Source organism: Homo sapiens, chromosome 13 (assembly GCF_000001405.40).
Source record: "Homo sapiens chromosome 13, GRCh38.p14 Primary Assembly".
In the NCBI taxonomy this organism is placed as follows: domain Eukaryota; kingdom Metazoa; phylum Chordata; class Mammalia; order Primates; family Hominidae; genus Homo; species Homo sapiens.
This window is the reverse complement of record NC_000013.11, coordinates 80606732-80628622: the sequence shown is the minus strand read 5'-3', so window position 1 is coordinate 80628622 and position 21891 is coordinate 80606732. Positions and strand designations below refer to the sequence as shown.

General features: G+C 36.3%; 1 pseudogene, besides 1 other annotated feature; it reads left to right on the top strand.

Moving 5' to 3' along the window:
• Positions 8497-9887, top strand: HNRNPA1P31 (heterogeneous nuclear ribonucleoprotein A1 pseudogene 31; annotated as a pseudogene).
• Positions 13036-13205: an enhancer, noted in NCBI's record as "experimental_33463 CRE fragment used in MPRA reporter constructs". NCBI's record gives its function as "activates a minimal promoter by MPRAs in K562 erythroleukemia cells, with activity observed for the introgressed 13:81189638 variant allele {active_cell/tissue: K562}" and the evidence as "EXISTENCE:reporter gene assay evidence [ECO:0000049][PMID:34662402]".

Below are 21891 nucleotides of genomic sequence, written 5' to 3'. Positions count from 1 at the left end.
CACTCTTTGTATACTATCAGGTGGTCAATTTAATTGGCATATATATAGCTTGAAATAAATAGAATGCATTTATTTTCAGTTCCTTCTTATTTCTTAGATCTTTGCTACTCAAGTTGTGCCCCACAGAACAATACCAGCAAGACCTGGTTGCTTACTAGAAATCCAGATGATCAGGCTATATCTCAGATCTACAAATCAAAATCTGCATTTTAACAATTTATCCAGATGATTAATAGTCATGCTAAATTTTGAAGAGCATTGCTTGATCTAAGTCAATGGCCAAATAGAAGCACAGAGAGCTTGGTAACTTGCCCAATATAGCATAGGCCAACAATGATGGAGCGAGACAATCTCAGGATCATTTATGAGTAAAAAAAGTCCCCACATTTTATTTGCCGTCTAGTATCTCTCCCAACCCCTTTTATAAAGAAGTCTAAGAAAACCAAAGTCAACCTTAGAAGGATTCCCATAGTGGAGTGAATAATAAGTATTTTAGCCAGAGTCATATGAGGTGAAATATCTTTGCAGTAATTTAAGCCATTTAAGAAATGTTGAGAAAAAGTTTGTATTATCAGAACTTGTTAAAACTATTATTATCACTAAAGGAAATATGTACTAGGTAAAAATATAGATCAAGTATAGTTCCATTTACCAAGATTGATAAACACATGAATTTCTTCTACTCTAGCAAAAATCTTTTTGAAATTATTAAAGATATGTAAGAAATAGAAATTAGCAATAGCAGAACTGGAAATCCTGGAAGGGTACCTTCAGTTGACCAGAAGAGGGGAAGATTCCTGGGTCACACAAAGCGGATAGACCCCCAAAGATATCCAAAGATATATATATATATACAGAGAGAGAGAGAGAGAGAGAGAGAGAGAGAGAGAGAGAGAGAGAGAGAGAGAGAAACACCAATAGAGAGAAACCATGAAGAGTATATCGAGAATCCAGAATTACTACTGACCAGAAGCAGTGATGGTTAGGAAAATGAATGAATCATGGCTATCATCTAGAGATATAAATTAAGAAAATATCTACCACTTCATGGTGACAAATGTCAGAATTTCCTCAGGTAAATATTGACATCAAGTTCTCCAAATAGAACTGAGTTTTCTGATTGACTAGGAAATAATAAATGAAGTGCATGAGCTAGAAAGTCAGGGTATGGCCACAAGTAGTTTATAAACAAAATCAGACACTAGAAATCTCCATTCTAGAGGACATATTACCACCACACATGTATACACACACACGCACATGCACACACACACACACACACACAGAGAGAGAGAGAGAGAGGAGAGAGAAACCAGGCTTCTTTTATTGAATAGCAATTTAAAAAGTACTGGTACTTTTCAGCAAAGACTGGTACTTTGAAGAATCTAATATCACAGAAAATTTTATGCCAAATCTCATTTTTTTTAAAGTTAGAAGACAAACAACTTTAAGTACAGAGAAGTAACATAACTACTAACTTAGAAAATTTTTTTTCTGCTGGATAAACGTAATTTTAACTGGAGCTTATAATAAATATTCAACCTAACTAAACGAATAACATAGACACTTATGTACAAAATGAATTATATCATGAATCTCTAAGTATTTTAGGAAAGCAAAGTTATAAAATAACTAAATGTACTAAACAGAATTACTATATTCAACAAGCACATAACCAATTTTTTAAAAATTAAGTAATTATGGTGAGTATCTACAATGAAATTTGATAAAACTTGGCATCCTGAGAAACACTGCCATTTAGAAAGGAATAATCAAAGTAATTAAAATGAGAAAAACTATTGCTTGATTTTTAAAACAAAATCATAGATAGGTGAATAGTAGAATGCACTTAGCTAAAATTGAATTAGAAAGCTAACTAGTAATAGTGCCAAAGGAGTTCCCCCAGAAGGCAGTCAAAAAGGAAAAAGAGTGAAATAGCATGAGAAGCTTTCTCATGGAAGCTAGACTCATTTTGGACATCCATATAATAGTAGTTCCAGAGAAAGAGAACAAAGAGAATCGAGAAAAGAAAACAAATAAAGTGTCACAAAGCTGAAGAAAGATCATTTAAACTAGACTCACACTTGCTTCAAACATCTTGCCAGAATATTGGCTGTTGGAAATGAAAAACAAAGAGCATACAAAATAAATTTATCCTCTTAAATATAAAAAACACACTTCAACATAACAGTAGGGTTACAGAGAATATCAATTTTAACATTATAAATTATTTAGAAAAGTACTACATATCAAAGCCTGCTGAATAGAGCTGAAGTGCTACTAAGAGTAATTTGCATAATCCAAAACATATACTTTGGAAAACAAAAAAGACTGAAAAAATTAATTAGACATTCAATTCAAGGATCAAGGAAAATTAACAGATCAAGGAAAAATAAAATAGGGCACAACTCACAGAGAGGAGTTAACAAAGATAAAAGCAGAAATAAATCAAGTAGAAAATCTAACAGTAAGAAGAAGAATAATAGACAAATAAAAGCAATAGCTGCTTCTTTGAAGAGTTTATTGTAACAAACCACATGTTTGCCTCCATAAAAAAGTGAGAAATCACAAATATACACCTTAAAGAATGAAAAAAGCAGCATAACTACAGATATGGAAAAATATTTCATAAATGATGGGAGATTACTACATGCAATTTTTATCTATTAATTCAAAAACAAAAACAAGTTTTGAAGAAAATATGAAATAACAAAAGTTACTCAATATGACTGGAAAATCATAGAAGATTAAAAACTCTCTCTTTAAAAATATATCAACCCCCAACAACTTTATTTCCAAGTATTTTTAAATCATCAAAATGTAGTTAATTCCCATGATATAGAAAAGTCTTTCATAAGATAGAAAATACAGAAGACCCCTCAATGTTGGCAAGATCTTGTATTACAAAATGTAAATGGTTAGTAATACAAGAAAATTGTAGTTCAATCCCATTGGTAAAAAAAGATACAAAAATATAAATAAAGTCAAAAAATCCAGTCCTGCTGTGAATTAGAATAATAAGGAGAGTTTTCGCAGAATGCCAATAATCTTCATCACTATGAATCTCAGAATACCATAAACTGCACTATTTGTGTTTGTCAGGTGGGAAAAAAGTAGTTGAAATGATTTAAACAGAGGCTAATGGCTTTACTCAGCTGATATACATAGCACCTGCATTATAGGTACTCTACAGGTGACTCTGAGCCACAACAGGATTGCAGCTTTTCTAGGAGGAGAAGAGGAATATGTGTCCATGTGTTCTGGTCCAGTTTGCAGCTTTCTTCATCTCTGACTGCTACTAAATTTACAGCTGAAAAAGTTAGAAATTGTTCCAAGTTATTCATACCTTTTAATTGAAATGATTGGTTAAATTTTACCCCAACAAAAGATCAGAACAGATCTTTTAAGAGATATTTTTCCAAACCTATAGTTTGTCAATGTTTGGAGAGGGAGGAAATAGCCAAAAAAAGGAGGACAGGGAGGAGTAAGGGGAAGAGGAAAAAAAACGAGGAAAAAAAAAAAAAAGCAGAGGAAGCAAGAATTAAAGCAAGAGAAGCCTGGTCCTGTTTAAAACCTTTTACATACTAAAATGACACGAGCTATCACCTCACACCTGTTAGAATGACTATTACTATAAAATAGAAAGATGAGAAGTGTTGGCAATGATGTGGAGAAATTGTAACTCTTGTGCACTTCTCATGGGAGTATAAAATGATGCTGCCACTATGAAAAACAATATGGAGGTTCCTCAAAAAATTAAAAATGGAGTTACCATATGATCCAGCAATCCCACTTCTGAGTATATAGCAAAAACAAAAAAAAAAATGAAATCAGGATCTCAAAGAGATATCTGCTTTCCCATGTTTATTGTAGCGCTATTCACAATAACCAAGGTATAAAGACAACCTGGGTCCATCAGCGGATAAGTGGATAAATAATATCTGGTATATATATATACACACACACACAATGGAATATTATTCAGACTTCAAAAAGAAGGAAGGAAATTATGCTATATGCATCAGCATGAATAGATCTGGAATATGTTATGCTAACTAAAATAAGCCAGGCACAGAAGAACAAATACCACATAATTCCACTTACATGAAGGGTCTAATATAGACAAACTCATAGAAACAGAGAGTAGAATGCTGGTTGTCAGGGGCTGGGGTAGAGAGGAAGAGACAGTTGCTGTTCAATGGGTGTAATGTTTCAGTTATGCAAGGTGAATAAGTTCTAGAGATCCCCTGTACAACACTGTACCTACAGTTAACAATACTGTGTTGTGCAAATAAAAATTTGTTAAGAGGGTCTAGATCTCAAGTTAAGTGTCTTCAACAAAATAAAGAAAATAAAAGTATTGTTAACATGATTAAAAAGTTAAAGAAGGCCTAATAAAATAAAATAGACTTTAAAGTACAATATAAAGATCATCTAGACAAATGCTGAAAACACATTATATACATATTTAACACCAATTCCTTACCTTATAAAATGCATCAACCAGAAAATTATAGCACTTATCACACATCACACTACATAAACATATATTTGCTGCAATCCCTTTATTGTTTATTTATTTATTTATTTTCATTTATTTATTTATTTTGAGATGGAGTCTCACTCTTTCGCCCGGGCTGGAGTGGAGTGGTGTGATCTCAGCTAACTGTAACCCTCCGCCTCCCAGGTTCAAGTGATTCTCCTGCCTCAGCCTCCCGAGTAGCTAGGACTACAGGTGCATGCCACCACGCCCAGCTAATTTTTGTATTTTTAGTAGAGACGAGGTTTCACCATGTTAGCCAGGATGGTCTCTATCTCTTGACCTCGTGACCCACTCGCCTCCGCCTCCCAAAGAGCTGGGATTACAGGGATGAGCCATCACGCCCGGCCTCTCTTTAAAGACATCAAAAAGATTAGGACATCCACTACAGTGAACATCTTTTATTTGTTTGCCCAGCACTATTCCTTTCGTCTAGAAAATAACTCTTTTCTGTAGGGAATTTCTCCCCACAGCAAGACAAGTATATGGTAGGAGTGAAGGGTGCCACCAATCTCTAGGTCATTGTTTAAGGCTAAAACTCTTAGGTAAGCCAAGAAAATCATTATTCTTTTCTGGATTATTTTCGAACTGAAGCTGAAGAAAGAGATTCAATCCCAAGTGGTAGCAAAAGTTTTGAGATATGAAACATGAAGAGCTCTGTATCTATGATCTCCGTCAGTAGAGGGGAAGTCAGCAGCTGTAGAACGGAGGCCAAAATAGAGGGAAAATTAAAAATTGAGCTATTGAGACAAGTGCTGGCTGAATTTCAGTTACTAATTTAGATTGTTCTTCAGGCCAAGCTACAATGACTCTTCTTTCTGCAACTGTGTGAATCTCATAATAACTTCCACTGTTTAGCTAAGTTTAATATATGCTATTTGCAACCAAGTCTTGACTGAAACGCCATGACTACTTCTCAACATTGTTCTCGAGATCCAAGAAGTGCAGTAAGGGAAAATAATGAACACTAAAAATAAAGATAATATAATTATGTATAGATGGCATTTATATTTTTCTAGAACATATAGAGATTCAAATTATAAATATTGGAGGCTGGGTGCGGTGGCTCATGCCTGTAATCCCAGCACTTTGGGAGGACGAGGCAGGTGGATCACGAGGTCAGGAGATCGAGACCATCCTGGCTAACACGGTGAAACCCCGTCTCTACTAAAAGAAAACAAAAAAAAATTAGCCGGGCGTGGTGGTGGGCACCTGTAGTCCCAGCTACTCGGGAGGCTGAGGCAGGAGAATGGCATGAACCCGGGAGGCAGAGCTTGCAGTGAGCCGAGATCATGCCACTGCACTCCAGCGAGACTCCGTCTCAAAAAAAAAAAAAAAAAAAGAAATATTGGAAAAAATATAAGCAGATGGTAATGTTGCTAAAGGTGGAAATATATAAATCAAAAATAACTTCTCCATTCATTGGCAACAAGAAATTAGAAAGCATAGTAGAAAAATATCTAAATGCATTGGCAACAACAAATTAGAAAACATAGTAGAAAAATATCTAAATGCAGCAAAACCTCACGTTCCTGGATGAGAAGACACACACCAAGACGTTCATTCTTTTTAAATAAATCTTGCAAAGAATACACCTAAACTGTTAGTATTTTTTGCCTTTGGCCAAGAAAACTGAAGAGAAAAGGAAAGAAAAATGAGAAGCAAGATTTTTCATCCTTTAACCAGTATGTTTTATATTATTTTGAATTAATATAATTATGTGTACATGCATAACTTTTGTAGTTTAAGAAAACAATGGTATAAAAATATTTTTAACTCTAATATTGCAAATAATGTAATTTTTACAATATTAAGGGTAAAAGGTGTATGGATGATCTGCCATAAGTTCTTAAAGAATATTAATCTATTTAAATAATATAATTTGCCAATGTGCTTCTCTGCTTCCAAACACTAGAAGCCAACCAAATGTTAAGTTCCTCGAAAGCAAGAATGTTTTTCATCTTTGTAAACCCAGTGTTTACCACAATGCTGATATTTGGTGGTGCTTAATAAGTACTATTACATTTGTTAAGTGAATGAGTGATGAAGGAGGATTCTGTTGTCAGGATTATGTGCTTACACCATAAGGCCATCTGCTTTCATAATTCCAAAAAAAAAAAAAATCACACAACATTCATGGAAAACTTTTCTAAATGAAAACGTAAAGTTTCTGTTTTTTTTTTTTTTTAAATGGAATCTCACTCTATCCCCCAGGCTGAAGTGCAGTGGCACGATCTCAGCTCACTGTAATCTCTGCCTCCCAGGTTCAAGCGAGTCTCTTGCCTCAGCCTCCTGAGTAGCTGGGATTTTGGGTGCTCTCCACCACGCCCGGCTTATTTTTGTATTTTTAGTAGAGACAGAGTTTCACCATGTTGCCCAGGCTGGTCTTGAACTCCTGACCTCAAATGTTCCACCCGCCTTGGCCTCCCAAAGTGGAAAACTTAAAGTTTTTAAAGACTCCCTTTTATCACTTCTCAGATGATCTTTACACACTGATAATGACTGGGAGAAAGACAATTTGGGTACCTGGTAACAATTGTTTTGAGAGGTAAGGTGGTAGGCTAAATGTGGGAGACACAGTCAGTGTACCAAGAATAGTAAGAACACAACCCACTCAACAAATTCCAAAAATATATATGTATTTTTTTAATCGGGTAGATAAATTCATCATTAAAGGAAAACTTTCTTCCCACAGTAAGCAGAATCCCCTTCAATATTCCCAAGAAAAGAATCCAGGCCTAGGGATGACATACTCATCCAGGCCAATTCTAGACTCACTGCATGTCATGGTAGTAAATGCAGTACAAGCTCACATGTACAGGGAATACAAATATTTCATCAGTTTCTTTCTGTTGAATTAAAAATAATCTTAGCTCTTCAGAAATATGCATATTTATAACTTTGTTGAAAGTGTTAAGAACAGACTATTCTTTTCATCTATTTAAATCTGAGCCTCAACTTTCTTAAAAATTTGCAGTAATTATTTCTAGGAAATATATTCTTAAATAATAATACATTAAAAATTTTTATAATTATTATTTCCTCTCCTGATACATTCATTCATTTTATTAAAAGGACGCAATCGTGAAAGAGGACAAAAAAGCCTAATCCCAAGATTTTCTGAGAGCAGGGAGCCTGATCTCTTTGAGATGAACGAGCTGTCCCTAAAATCAACATTGTAAATGACATCTTTCCTTTTCTTCCACTTTCTAGCAGAAGGATTCTAACTCTGAAATGCTAGGTTGTGTCCTGGTGATTCTGTTGCTGGTGATTCTTGCAGATATCAAAAAGGGGCCCTACAGTCAGAGTTGAGCCTATTCAGAAACAATGCTTTGAATTTGTGGAAAATAGAAAGAGACTGCCTACCAAGACCCTATTATTTGCATGATTAAACGGAACATTTTTATAAATACTGATATGTATATTTGTGTGTGTGTGTATATATATATATATATGGCTTTATTATGATCTGTTTTCCTTTTTGCAGTGTTTGTCATCTTAATTATGATTTAGATAAATAAAAAGCAGTGATAATAAATACTAACATTTCTTAAGCACTTGCTGCCATACACTATTTTAAGTACACAACAGGTGATATTTAATTGTCACTACTACCATATACAATAGTTGCAATATTACCTCTATTTTACCGATGAGCAATCTGATTCATTAGCTTGGCCAAATTTCATTGGTCAGGAATGGCAGAACTGCAGTGGACATTCAAGCATGACAAACCCTGGAGTATCTCTTCAAAACTTTCTTTTCTCTTTTTTCTACTACCCTCATAGACCCACCATTATTCGTTCATTCATTTTTGTTTGTCATCGTTTTTTGGAATCTATTTTCCCCACTGTTACTTAAGAGAACCTCGGGCACAGGAAGCCAAATAATACAGGATTTACAATACCAAAAGTGTTGCATTACATTTTACTTTTTGATAGTTAAAAGTTTTCAAGCTTTCTACTGGTGAATGCCATGGAGAAAGCATCTCTAAATCTCTTCTCCTGCTGCCATCATGTCTAAGTCAGAGTCTCCTAAAGAGCCTAAACAGCTGAGGAAACTCTTCATCTGTTTGAAGGTTGCGCTTTAAAACAACCAATGAGTCTGAGAAGCCATTCTGAGCAATGGAGAATGCTTACTGGACTGTACAGCAATAAGTGATCCAAATGCTCGGGAAGCTTTGGGTTTGTCACATATGCCACTGTGGTGGAGGTGGGTGGAAGTGGATGCAGCTTGAATGCAAGGACACACAGGTGGATGAAGGAGTTGTGGAACCAAACAGGGTTGTCTCAAGAGAAGATTCTCAAACACCAGGGGCCTGCTTAACTGTAAAAAAAGATCTTTATTGGTGGCATTAAAGAAGACACTGAAAAATAATGCCTAAGTAATTATTTTGAACAGTATGTAAACATTAAAGTGATTGAAATCATAACTGTCTGAGGCAATGGCAAGAAGAGGGGCTCTGCTTCTGTAACCTCTGATGACCATGCCTACATGGATAAGACTGTCATTTGGAAATACTATCCTTTGAATGGCCACAACTGTGAAGTAAAAAAGTTCTGTCTGAACAAGAAATGGCTGGTGCTTTATCCAGCCAAAGAGGTTAAAGTAGTTCTGGAAGCTTTGGCTGAAGTTGTGGAGGTAATTCCGATGGGGATGACAACTTGAGTCATGGAGGAAGCCACAGTGGTTGAGGAGGTTTTGGTAGCAATCATGGTGGTGGTGGATACAGTGACAGTGGGCATGGCTATAATGGAATTGATAATGATGGGAGCAGTTTGAGACGTGGTTGAAACTACAAGGATTTTGGCAATTACAATAAGCAATCCTTAAATTTTGAAGCCACGAGGGGAGAAAACTTTGGAGGCAGAAGCTCTAGACCCTTTAATGGTGGAAGTCAACACTTTGCCCAACCACAAAACCATAGTGGCTACAATGATGGTTCCAATAGCAGCAGTAGTTATGACAGTGGCAGAAGGTTTTAATTTCTGCCAGGAAACAAAGTTTAGTGGAGAAAAGAGCCAGAGAAGTGACAGGAAAGTTACAGTTTACAACAGATTTGTGAATTCAGCCAAGCCCTGTGGTGGCAGGACATAGCTGCTACAAGACATGCCTTAGACAATACTCATGTGTATGGGCAAAAGACTCAAGAACTAAATTTGTAACTAATTGCATAACAGGTTATTTTAGTTTCTGCTTTGTGGAAAACATACGGCATTCCAACAAAATGTTTAATGTAGATTTTTTTTTGCACCCATGCTGCTGATTGCTAAACATAATAGGCTAATGGTGACACTGAAAAAATGTCTTTTTAAAAAAAAGCTTTCAAAAGCAAATTTTCCTTTAACGTACATACCACCTTAAAGGTTTGGCATCTACCTCCTAATTTTCCTCAGTGCCATTGTCTTAGTTTGTTTTACTATAAAGGAATACCTGAGGGTGGGTAGTCTATAAAAGAAAATAATGTATTTGGCTCATGATCCGGATGTCTGCAAAAGTTCAAGATTGGGCATCTGCACCTGGCAAGGGCCAAAGGCTGCTTCCACTCATGGCAGAAGGTGAAGGGGAGATGGCGTGTGCAGAGATCACATGGTGAGAGAGAAGCAAGGGCAAGAGGGAAGGTGCCTGACTCCTTTTATCAACCAGCTCTTCTGGAAACTAATAGAGTGAGAGTGAGATCTCACTCATGTGACCTCCCCCAGGAAGGGGATTAATCTATTCACGAGGGAGCTGCCTTCATGACCCAAATACCTCCCATTAGTCCCCATTTCTAACATTACAGATCAAATTTCAACATGAGGTTTCAGGGGACAAATATCCAAACTACAGGAGTCATAATTTGGAGAGACCCCCAAATAATGTAGATGACTCTTCTAAGACCTAATGGCTTTAGAGTTTGCTGATTGTCCCAACTGAAAAGGCTTGATTTTCACTTGACTTTTGCAACCACTCCCATGGTCAGCCTGCAACTACTGTTTCACTGCAGCAAACAAAACCCCAATATCCTTTTATTTTCCAGAAAATGACAATTTTTTGTCATTAAAATTTTGCTATCTCTCTTTGCTTGCCAAATAATTCTGATACCACCCTCTTCCCCATTTTCAATGGTTCATAACCCTCCACAATTATACTTTTTTTTTTTTGAGATGGAGTGTTGCTCTGTCACGCAGGCTGGAGTGCAGTGGGGCAATCTCAGCTCACTGCAAGCTCTGCCTCTCGGGTTCATGCCATTCCCCGGCCTCAGCCTCCCAAGTAGCAGCTGGGACTATAGGCGCCCATCATCACGCCCAGCTAATATATTTTATTTTTTATTTTTTATTTTTTTCGTATTTTTAGTAGAGACGGGGTTTCACTGTGTTAGCCAGGAGGACGGTCCCCATCTCCTGACCTCGTGATCCGCCCGCCTCAGCCTCCCAAAGTGCTGGGATTACAGGAATGAGCCACTGCATCTGGCCTACTTTTGTTTTCTTTCAATGTATCCTGGCAAAATAACTGCTCTGGATGCCAAGCACATCTAAATACACACACACACACACACACACACACACACTCACACAACCATATAGATTATTACATTATCCCAACAAAACTTCATATTATACGTTTTCATATGTTCTTTCAAAACAACTTAGTCATCCAATTACATATTCTGAATAAGCTCCCACTCCTAGTTCCTTGAATGGCCATTTCAAATTTTGCCTTTACCCTCATGTTCTCTGTCTCAACATGCTCTCACCTCACAGAAGATTATTTCTCTTCTGATATCACAGAAAAAGTTTGAGTCCATTATGAACCCATTTCTGAACTCCTGCTTCCTCACCAATAGCTGCACCCATACATATCTTGTTTACCCTGGTGCAGAGGAAGCAGTAATCTGATTTTTCATGCCCTGCACCCTGAAATCTATCTTCTCCAGAATGGTGATCCACAGATGACCCCATCATTTCTGTGCATTATTCTCACTTTCTCATGGCCCTTCCACTTTAGGATGCACATAGTCTCTAGTCACTACCATTACATTCAAAATTCCTTCCATGGCTTGTCATGATTTTTTAGCCATTGCCTCATAGCAATTGCTCTCCTTCTATAACCAGGATCTAAAAAAGCAGCTTTCTCTCATTGTCTCTAAAATCCACTAAAATTCTGCAGCTGGCCCACTGCTTAACAACCTTCAAGTGAGTAAATCTGATGCCTCCTTCTCCTCGGCCATACCCAATGTCCTTGAAATAGATTAGATGCCTTACCCTGAACTTACATAATGTTCTGAGCTTATCTGTATCATGGCATTTGATATGTCTTATTATTATCTTTTTATTTATCTCACTCACTTTACTCCTTGCACCCAAAACACCATCAATTTCTGCTGATATTTGCTTCTTAATATTACTGCTGTGCATTGTCTCATTTTCATCCTAGCCCAATTCAGGCCTTTGGAATTACTTGCAAAAGGTTAAGATAGGGCATCTACACCTGGCAAGGGCCACAGGCTGCTTCCACTCATGGCAGAAGGCGAGAGTACTGTCCTTACTACCTGAGTGATAAAATCATTTGTACACCAAGCACACAATTTACCCATGTAACAAACCTGCACATGTTCCCCTGAACGTAAAATAAAAGTTGAAAGTGGGGGAAGAAAAACAGTAGAGACTAGAATAGTGATTAACAGGGGCACAGGTTGTAAGTGGGGGACTCAGAGGGTAGGTCAGGGAGATACTGGTCAAAGGACACAAAACTTTAGTGAGGAGGAATAAGAAATCTATTGTACAACATGACTATAGTCAATATGAATAAATTGTATTCTTGAAAATTGTTGAGAGTAGATTGTGTTCTCAGCACCATAAAAAGATAAATATATGAGGTAATGCATATGTTAATTAGCTCAATTTAGCCATTGCTCAATGTATATACATTTCAAAACATCATGCTGTACACCATAAATATATATAATTTTTGTCAATTAAAAATACAAATATAAAAGAAAAAAGACTAAGTTGCAACAATTCAGTTTACTTCATCAAACATATTTCATACTTATTTTTAATATGTTCTAGACACTATGCTAGATGAGATTATTATATAAATAACAAAATCCAGAAAAACTTCCACCATTCATTATTATATAGACAATTTATGAGTAATTGAAGGGATAAATTAAAGACCTCAAATGATTTGTTATGAGCAAATTATGAAAATAAAATTATATACTTTATTGACAAAATTCTTAAAGTGGCAATTTAGAGAAATTTCATAGTTATACTTTACCTCAATTTTAGTATATCATTTTAATAAGTATCTTAATGATATCCTCATGTAAAAGACAAAAACTTATGGCCTGGATGAAGTTCAATTAGACAAATTCATAATCAGTTAAACAAATGAAAAAAAATGCATTAATGAAATTAGCTTCCTGAATAGAAATCTTGTGCTCTTTGCCTCACCCTTTTCTCTCATTCATTCATTCATCTAACAAATACACATGGAAAAACACTATAAGAAACATTTTGCATGTTTCTGAAAATACAGATATAAGAACAGACAAAACTAACATTAAGTTAGGGGTCAGAATGGAGCTAACCCACGATGTAAAAAATTATCTATTGACGGACGGAGCCTTCTCAAGGGCCAGAAATGTTTGGTATCTTGACTTATGTGCTGGTTAGAGGGGTAAAGATATATGCAAAAATTCATCCAGTTGTACACTTAAGATTTCGCACTTAAATATAGGAATAATATACTAAACTTCAAACAATAGCACAAATAATGAGCCATTCTTGTTATTGCCTTCCGTAATAACCCTTATGCCTATATAGTATAAATCCAAAATTTCTTTGCGTGGGCTCAAAATGATTCATGATTTGTCCCCAGCTTACTTTTCCAGCCTCATTTCCTCCCAACTTGATTCTCACACTTTATATTCCTCCCACGGTAAACTTGTCACACACAGTTCCTTAGTGCATGAGTGAGAAGAGGCCTGTCTCTGGAATATTGGATTTAGTGTAGTGAGCCTTAAAGTGCTCACACTTGTAATCTCAGCACTTTGGGAGGCCAAGATAGGCAGATCAACTGAGGTCAGGAATTCAAGACCATCCTGGCCAACATGGTGAAACCCTGCTCTCCTAAAAATACGAAAATTAACTGGGTGTGGTGGCACATGCCTGTAGTCCCAGCTACTCAGGAGGCTGAGGCAGGAGAATCACTTGAACCCAGGAGGCGCAGGCTGCAGTGAGCTGAGATAGTGCCACCGCACTCCAGCCTGGGAAACAGAGCAAGACTCCATCTCAAAAAAAAAGTTATATATATGATAAAATGAAACACGTCTAGTGGAGAGTTGGTATGAAGACTCTTCAGAGGATGCTATGGAATCTAGAAACTATATCACATGAGCATTAAGATACGGAAGAAGGCTAATTCTGTAGGTAATAGAAATCAGTTAGGAATAAAAGGCGACTTTATTAAAATATAACTATAATTTTCAAAAGAGATGCATCCTTTGATGCTACAGAAGTAAAAAAAAATAGGATTAAATTATGAACATGACTATGTTTAAGTATCCATAAATGACATATAATGAACTTTCTCAGAGCAGCACTAGACATCTGGCCAAACTAAACTGGTATAAAACCAGTATAGAATGGAGCATAAGCTTCTAGAATGCTAAACACCAATGTAAAAAGTAGTTGGGGTGAGGGTCTGGCTTTAGAGGGAAAATGAAATAAAAGCCAGTTATAGTAAAATGAGGTGAAGATCACTACCAAAATAAACTATGAGAACAAGGACTAATAATCAGAAATGGTCTGTGTGTGAGTCTATATACTTTATTATACTCCAAAGCTAAGAAGGCAATAAATGTTGTACTCAAAAAGGGAAGGGTGGCGGGTGGACAAGGACACAGGATGTAGGCCCCAGAGCAAGGAGGATTGGAAAAGGGACAGGGAGACATCACAGGAAAGGCGATACAAAACTGGCTGTTCAGGCACCAGGGAGCAAATTGTCAGGCTCTCAGCCTCCTTTGATGAGCCAAGATAGTGTGACAGCACAAGACAGGGAATGCACCATCACCCAGAATTTTCAGACCTTTCAGAGCCCGAAGAGAATGATTCTCTTAAAAAAAAAAAAGATCCCTGAAATAAAAACAAGAATGCTCTGAAAAGGAGTATTAATGCTTTTTTTCCTTATTTGAAAATTTAAGAAAATCAACACCAGCATGGTGTTGCCTGAGCACCAGGGCACAGCAAGCACATGACAAAGGAATTAGTTTGTGGTAAATGGTATGACCATCTTCCCTCCAAGAAAAGAACTAGATCAAGTTTTAAAGGCCAATTCCTTCAGATCTTCATTTTATTTGTACTCCAAATGAGGACATATATACAATGTTATAGCAGTTATAATATCCCTACATGATATATTATTTCTTAGATTTCTTTTTTATTTTTAATTTTTTGGATACATAATAAAAGTACATATTTATGGAGTACATGTGATATTGTGATACTGGCATACAATATAGATTTGATTCCTTTTTAAATTCATAAGCTTAGACATAGAAGGGGTACCATAAGATTTCTCCTCAAATAAGATATTATTGTATAACACACTTGATGTAATAAATACCCTGAATTGTAAAGAGCTATTATTCTGATGACTTCCATTCTAGATGCCACAAATTTTGGGTGAAAAAAAAAAAGGTTCTGTATTTTGGGCTGAGAACCTGAGATTATTTAAAAATGATTTCTACATGGTATGGTAGGAATTTTTTTAAAGGATGAAAAACTGTGGCAAGGGAAATTGTGTCACTGTTAGAACAACCATTTAAATATAAGAAGGAAACTCCCAATTTTGCAAACTCTAATTTTCAACTGCACGTGCAGGGAATAGGGAGTTATTCTGCACAAACAGAATTTTGACAGGACAGAACCGATAGAAGAATAAAATCATCGTTGGCACTAGTGCTGACTGCTGAAATGACTAAAATGAGGCTCCACAACTGCAGGGACCACCTTCACTGCGTGACATTTTAATGAAAGAATCACAGCTGGATGGGACCCAAGGTCATTGAGGCCAGGCCTCGACCCAGTTTAAGAATGTCTTACCCTGCATCCCTGACAGATGGCCCGACCAGCTCCAGCCAGAGTTCGGCACCTTAGAAAATAGACCTGTTCCCTTTTATACTTTTCTAGAAGTTACAAGGTTTCACTTAACATTGTATCAAAATTGCTATCACTGAATCTTTATCTGTTGGTCCTAATTTTGTCATATAACAGACCTCTAAAGAATCTACTCGTTCAGCAGGACAACTCTTAACATATTTTGTAACATCTAATATGTTAAACCTTCCCTTCTTTGAGCTAAACAGTCTGAATTTTTAAAATTATTTCATGTTTGGAATATTTCCCAGAATCTTCACAATCTTTATCTTCCTTTGCTAGACAATTTTACCTTATAAACCTGTCTTACTGTGCAGCATCCATAGCTAGTTACAGTAGTCAAAAGTAGTTGGACCAGTAAAACATGTAATGAAATCATTAATTTCTGTATTTCAAAGTATATAGCAATATTAACCAGACTAAACACCAAATGGATGGGAGTATTATGTTTTTAGTTTCATATTAACTTATGAAAAAATAAGAAAGAAAAATCTTTAGCACAGAAAATGCTACAAGTACAATTGATTTTTAAAACATGTTAACTGTGTGAGTTTAAATCTCATGCCTTCCAGTCATACTTACAATAAAGTTATAAAATACTTTTACTTAAATTTGAATAACAAATGCACAAAAGCATACAAAGAAAAGTACACAAATTTACTGTAGATTAACAAAACAAATGTGAAAATATCCTGCTTACTGTAGATTAACAAAACAAATGTGAAAATACCCTAGCTTGGAAATGCTAAATATTTAAAATATACTCAATTTCTTAGAACTATTTATTAAATAAATGCATCTATATGATATTCCCTATGGAACTTTTAAGGGAACATAACAAATTGTTTCTAAAGGTCATAGAAAGAACTTGTGGCTAGAAATAAGCTAGGCATTTTAGAAAAAGAAATGAGTGAGATACCATACCACAAAATATTAAGACATTTGATCAAACTACAATAATTTGAAGAGGGGGATCTGTGTCTGGACAACACAGAAATCAGAATCCATAGCCCTGAAGCCGATAATACATTAAAACAAAAAAAATTAAAAGTTTTTCACAACAGGGCCATAGAAAGAGAGAATATTTGTCTAAAAAATTATTTCCCCTTATTCATTTCTCTTGAGATTATAAAATTGGCACAATCTTTCTAGAGAGAATTTTGGTGCTGTTTATTAAATCTTTAAAAATATTCTATGTTTTCACACAGCCAATTCTTATGTAGAAACTCTAAGGAAATAGTAAGTTATTTGGACCAAGAACAGCACAGAATAGGTTCTTTATATGTGATATAAAGAAAAATATTAATTCTAATAATAGTAGAATAAATTAAAAGTTATGTACCATATATTGATAAATGAGCAATAGTTTCTATAAGAAGCAAAGCCTCCAGAGCAAATGCTCCAAATATAAAATAATTTATTTTGCATATACAGCATAAAACAGGTGTTTCTGAATAGTGATCGCTCACCACTAATTTGTGATTCAAGGACCATGCTTCTTCTAACTGTGGCTCTGCCATTCCCAATCTATGGCTTCCAATGAAGACAGTCTTATTTGGCAAAAGGCAAAAGCCCTTGAAGTAGCATATGTATGAAGTGTTATGTGTCAAGCCTTCTGTTCACACTGCATTTGTAGGAACTCATTCGCATTGCCACAGTTTGTTCCTGGGGACACTGAGAATGATGGCTGAGCTCAATGCACTGGATGAAAGAAAACTATGTTTGGTGAACGACTAAGCTATAGCTGCCAAAGTCTCTTCTTGAATCTCCAAATTGTACCTATCTTTCCAAACAGAGAATACATCCACCCACTCCTCCAGGAAAACAACCAGAATGCTCATCTCAAAATTCAGGATCTCTAAGTAAAGGACAGTTCCCTCCATCAGATCTGGAATGAGGTTTCTGTGGGTTCAGTGATCTATGAACTAAAAAAGCCAATTATTTCTTGCTCCACAGACAAGACAACAGCATGGGGCGGGGGGGAGGGGGGGAGGGGAACACTATTTGCAAAAATTAAGAAGAAAAAAAGAGCAGTTACTAATTCACAGCAATTATTAAATATTCCTGAGAAGACATTAGGGGGGCACTCAAGATTATTTTAACTAAAGATTATTTCACTTCACTTATGCAGTGAAAGGTTCTTTTTGGTTTTGTCCCTGTTCATGTTCTTCCATCAAGTGTGTATTAGGTTTCTATTCTTTTGCTTTCTGTTCAGTTCTGTATAATAATTGCCATATCCAAAGTTCTTTTCTAAATGTCTCACTTCTATCTCAATTGTGGCTCCCTTGAGACCATCTGAAAAACATGGCCCCGAAGATCCTATCCTCAAACTTCTCTTTGCTATAGGACTGATTAATTTTCTTCAAGTGAGAAACTACTGGGCCTGTTGTTCAATGATTTTCTCAGTCTTTCTTTACTATTTGGGATGCAGAAGCAATAACTTTCCATCCTGTAAATCTTTTCTATCTAGACTCTCTCTTCTACTGAGCTCTCTCCTTGTACACCAGCCAAAACTCATTTCAATCACAGTATCTTTTAGCCTTCCTTAACTTTGCTTTTCTTGCTCTTAATAAAAAGTCTTAGGTTCATTGTTTAATTAATTTAATTCCATTCTTTGCAATTAACTTAATTCCAATTTCATGATTGCTTACTGCCATGAATTTTCTCCCTGTAGAACTGAATCTTTGTCACATATTTTTGATATGTTGTTTTGAAATTTGCTTTGGCTTTTTGTTTTGAGCCATGGGGAAATCAAAGAGAGAAAATATTTTTTAAATGTTCAAATGGTTGGATACTTTTGTTTCTAATTTTGCTTTGTTTTCTAGTTTTATTATAGTTTAGCCATCTTATTTAATTTTTATTATCTCAATTTTTAAATACATTTATGCTTTTATTTTTGGCCCACTACTAGTTCATGATTTTCGGAAATGTTACAAGAGAACTTGCAAAAAGATGCACTATCTGTTGGATACAAGGCTTAACACCAGTCTTTACATAAAGATGTTTCATTCACAAGGTTTTTTGGGATTAATATTGTAGTTGACATGACTCTGTCTTCAATAATTTTTTCAGGGAGATGCATGGATACTATAATTATAAGCACATTTCAATTTTCTTTACATGTGTGATTTGTGCCTCATTAAAAATTTTGTGGTCAAACCCTTTGCCCTCAATACTCTATAGACACTGCTTTATTTAATTCTGCAATCATTACCAAGAAGTCATCTGACACTGGCATAGAGCACTTGAACTTATTCCTCCTCTCTAGCTGTAATTTAGTATCAACAAATCTCTAGGTCTTGGCCATTTTTCCTAGCTCAAAGCAAGTAAAAATGGCACTTCCCTTCTAAAGCCATCTTTGTCCTGTTGCCCTGTAAGGGGCTGGATATTATATCCAACTTGTTCCCCAATTGTCATGTTTCCAAATAAAGAATAATTGACTAGAGGTCTTCAGGATCTTCTTATTTGGTCTAATGAAATTTGTCATATGCATTGTTTCTGGAGAGACATGCATTAGTTTTCGACATCCTCTTTCACTTAGGTCCAGGTTTTCACTATTTCTAAGACATTATGCAGTATAATAATGTAGTTATTACATAGTTTATTATAGTTTAGTTTTAATTGTTTCTGATCATTTCAGTAACTTCATGCTGAAATTTATATTAAAAGAACTTCTTTCTCTCAGAAGTACATGGTGTACTTTCTGAGACTTTGCCGATGTACAAACATTTTTTGTTGCTTTCAAGCATGAAGGATTACTTAGATGAATACAGTATTTATTTGTTTGTTTTTGAGATGGAGTCTCACTCTGTTGCAGAGGCTGGAGTGCAGTGGCGCGATCTCGGCTCACTGCAACCTCCACCTCCTGGGTTCAAGCAATTTGCTGCCTCAGCCTCCTGAGTAGCTGGGATTACAGGCACCCACCACCATGCCCGGCTAATTTTTATATTTTTAGTAGAGATGGGGTTTCACCATCTTGGCCAGGCTTGTCTTGAACTCCTGACCTCAGGTGATCTACCCGCCTTGGCCTCCCAAAGTGCTAGGATTACAGGTGTGAGCCACCGCACCCGGCCCAAATATTCTTGAATCTTTTGTACTTTGTATTGCTCACTGCTCTTTTATATCTAATTCTGCAGAATCTGAAGTCTGCCTTATTTTTGCATTCTTTGTACATTACCTGCTTTTTTGTGTATACTTGGGTATTTGAAGTTCAAGACTTTCTCCAGGATAATAGAAGGAAATACATCTACTCCAGTCACCGTATTTCTTCATGGTTCCATAAAATAGAAGCATTGACCAGCTCTGCTGCCATCTCAGTGAAGCACTTTGGAAAATAATTTCTGCCATTCTCTGCCCCTTCTCTCTCTGCCTCATTGAAAAGGAAGCTACAAAGACTAATGAGAGCCTGGCATCCTTTGTTTTTTTTTTTTTCCACTAGATAGAAATAATATATGAAAGGTCATTGCCTACTTGTTGTTAGGTCTCTGTTTTAACTCTCTTGAAGGTACTTGCTCTTAAAAATGAAATTTGTTCTCTCTATTTCTATTTTGCCCAGTAACCAACACCAGGGCATATCCTGCCCTTTTAAGGGAAAGTCTGCTATCTCCATCTGTCCATCTATTAACTGTTTGCTTGAATTCATTTTGAGAAGTTGTAAAACACTCAATGTGAGTCTAAGCTGCTTCCTTCAATCAAAAAATAACCTCATGCTGTATTTCAATGCCCAGTTGGCTCTTGCATCTATTTCAATTAGTTAAGAAATTAAGACACTTTGGGAGGCCAAGGCGGGCGGATCACGAGATCAGGAGATCGAGACCACGGTGAAACCCTGTCTCTACTAAAAATACAAAAAATTAGATGGGCGTGGTGGCGGGCACCTGTAGTCCCAGCTACTCAGGAGGCTGAGGCAGGAGAATGGCATGAACCCGGAAGGCGGAGCTTGCAGTGAGCCGAGATCGCACCACTGCACTCCAGCCTGGGCAACAGAGCGAGACTCCATCCCAAAAAAAAAAAAGAAGAAATTAAGAATAGGTGGAGATATGACTAATAGGCTCCTATGAACCCCATACAAAGATAAATATACATTTTTATCTATTTGTATTAGTTTTGTTTTTCTAGTTCCTGATGAACTCTCTTTTGCTCTGAGAGAGAGAGAGAAAGAGACAGGGAGAGAGAGAAGAGAGTATTGGAAAGATGAGTAATTCAAGATGGAAAAATTGCATGTCTTCATCCACTCATTTCTCTTTAGTTTTATTATATGCATTTGTTGTTCAGTTTTGTGAAGTACAATGTCAGATTCCAGACCTAACATCAGCAGCTGTCTTTCTTGATGTAGGAATAGCCTTGTCAACTCTCAGACCAAACTTACGTTGTGAGGGGAGTTCACTGCAGCCAGTCTCTTGACTGTTGCTCTGTAATACGTCTGCCATCTCTTGCAATAGTTCCTGTCACCAAGATGCATGAGGGTACTACTTGCCAACTTGAAAAAACATCTGTCCTGATTTCTGAATACTACTGCTTAGGTGGCTTTGTTCATTACTGTCATTTGTGATATAGCATCAAATTTGTTTTGTTACTGTCACCTGTGATACAGCATCAAACCAGCTATATGTTGCCTTCAAGTGCTTCTCCTTAACCTGGTCTTACACACACTCCTTCTGGCCAAAACTCCTCAAGTTGCTGACAATTTGATGACTTACATGGTTTCAATCATAAATGGAAATTATCTCTTAGTTTATAGTTCAGAGAAGAGAAAGTGGTGATAAATCATACACGTGTCCTCATGGTTTCATCATTCTTCACAGTGCTTTTGAAAGTAGTAGTTACTACTTTCTAGTTACTATCTAGATCTTTGAAACTTTAGAAAGAGAAAACATTAAATAGAAGAAAAGCAAGGTCTTTCATATAGCAAACACTCTTGGTTTTCTCTGCCCATACTCAAATTTGGAGGTGTGATTATAAAGCTACAGGAAGCTAAAATGTGTTTTCCCACCCAACACATAACTGACTCTCTTTGCGTTTCTATGATACATATCTCAGTGGACTAAATCAATCTATATTTCAAATTCTTGGGAAGGAAGGAGGGAAGAGCAAATAGATTGTTTGAATATAAATGAGTATTATATTTGTCCTATTTCCATTTATTAAGAGAACAGAGGTAAGATTACTTACAGGCGTGGTGGCAGGCGCCTGTAATCCCAACTCCTC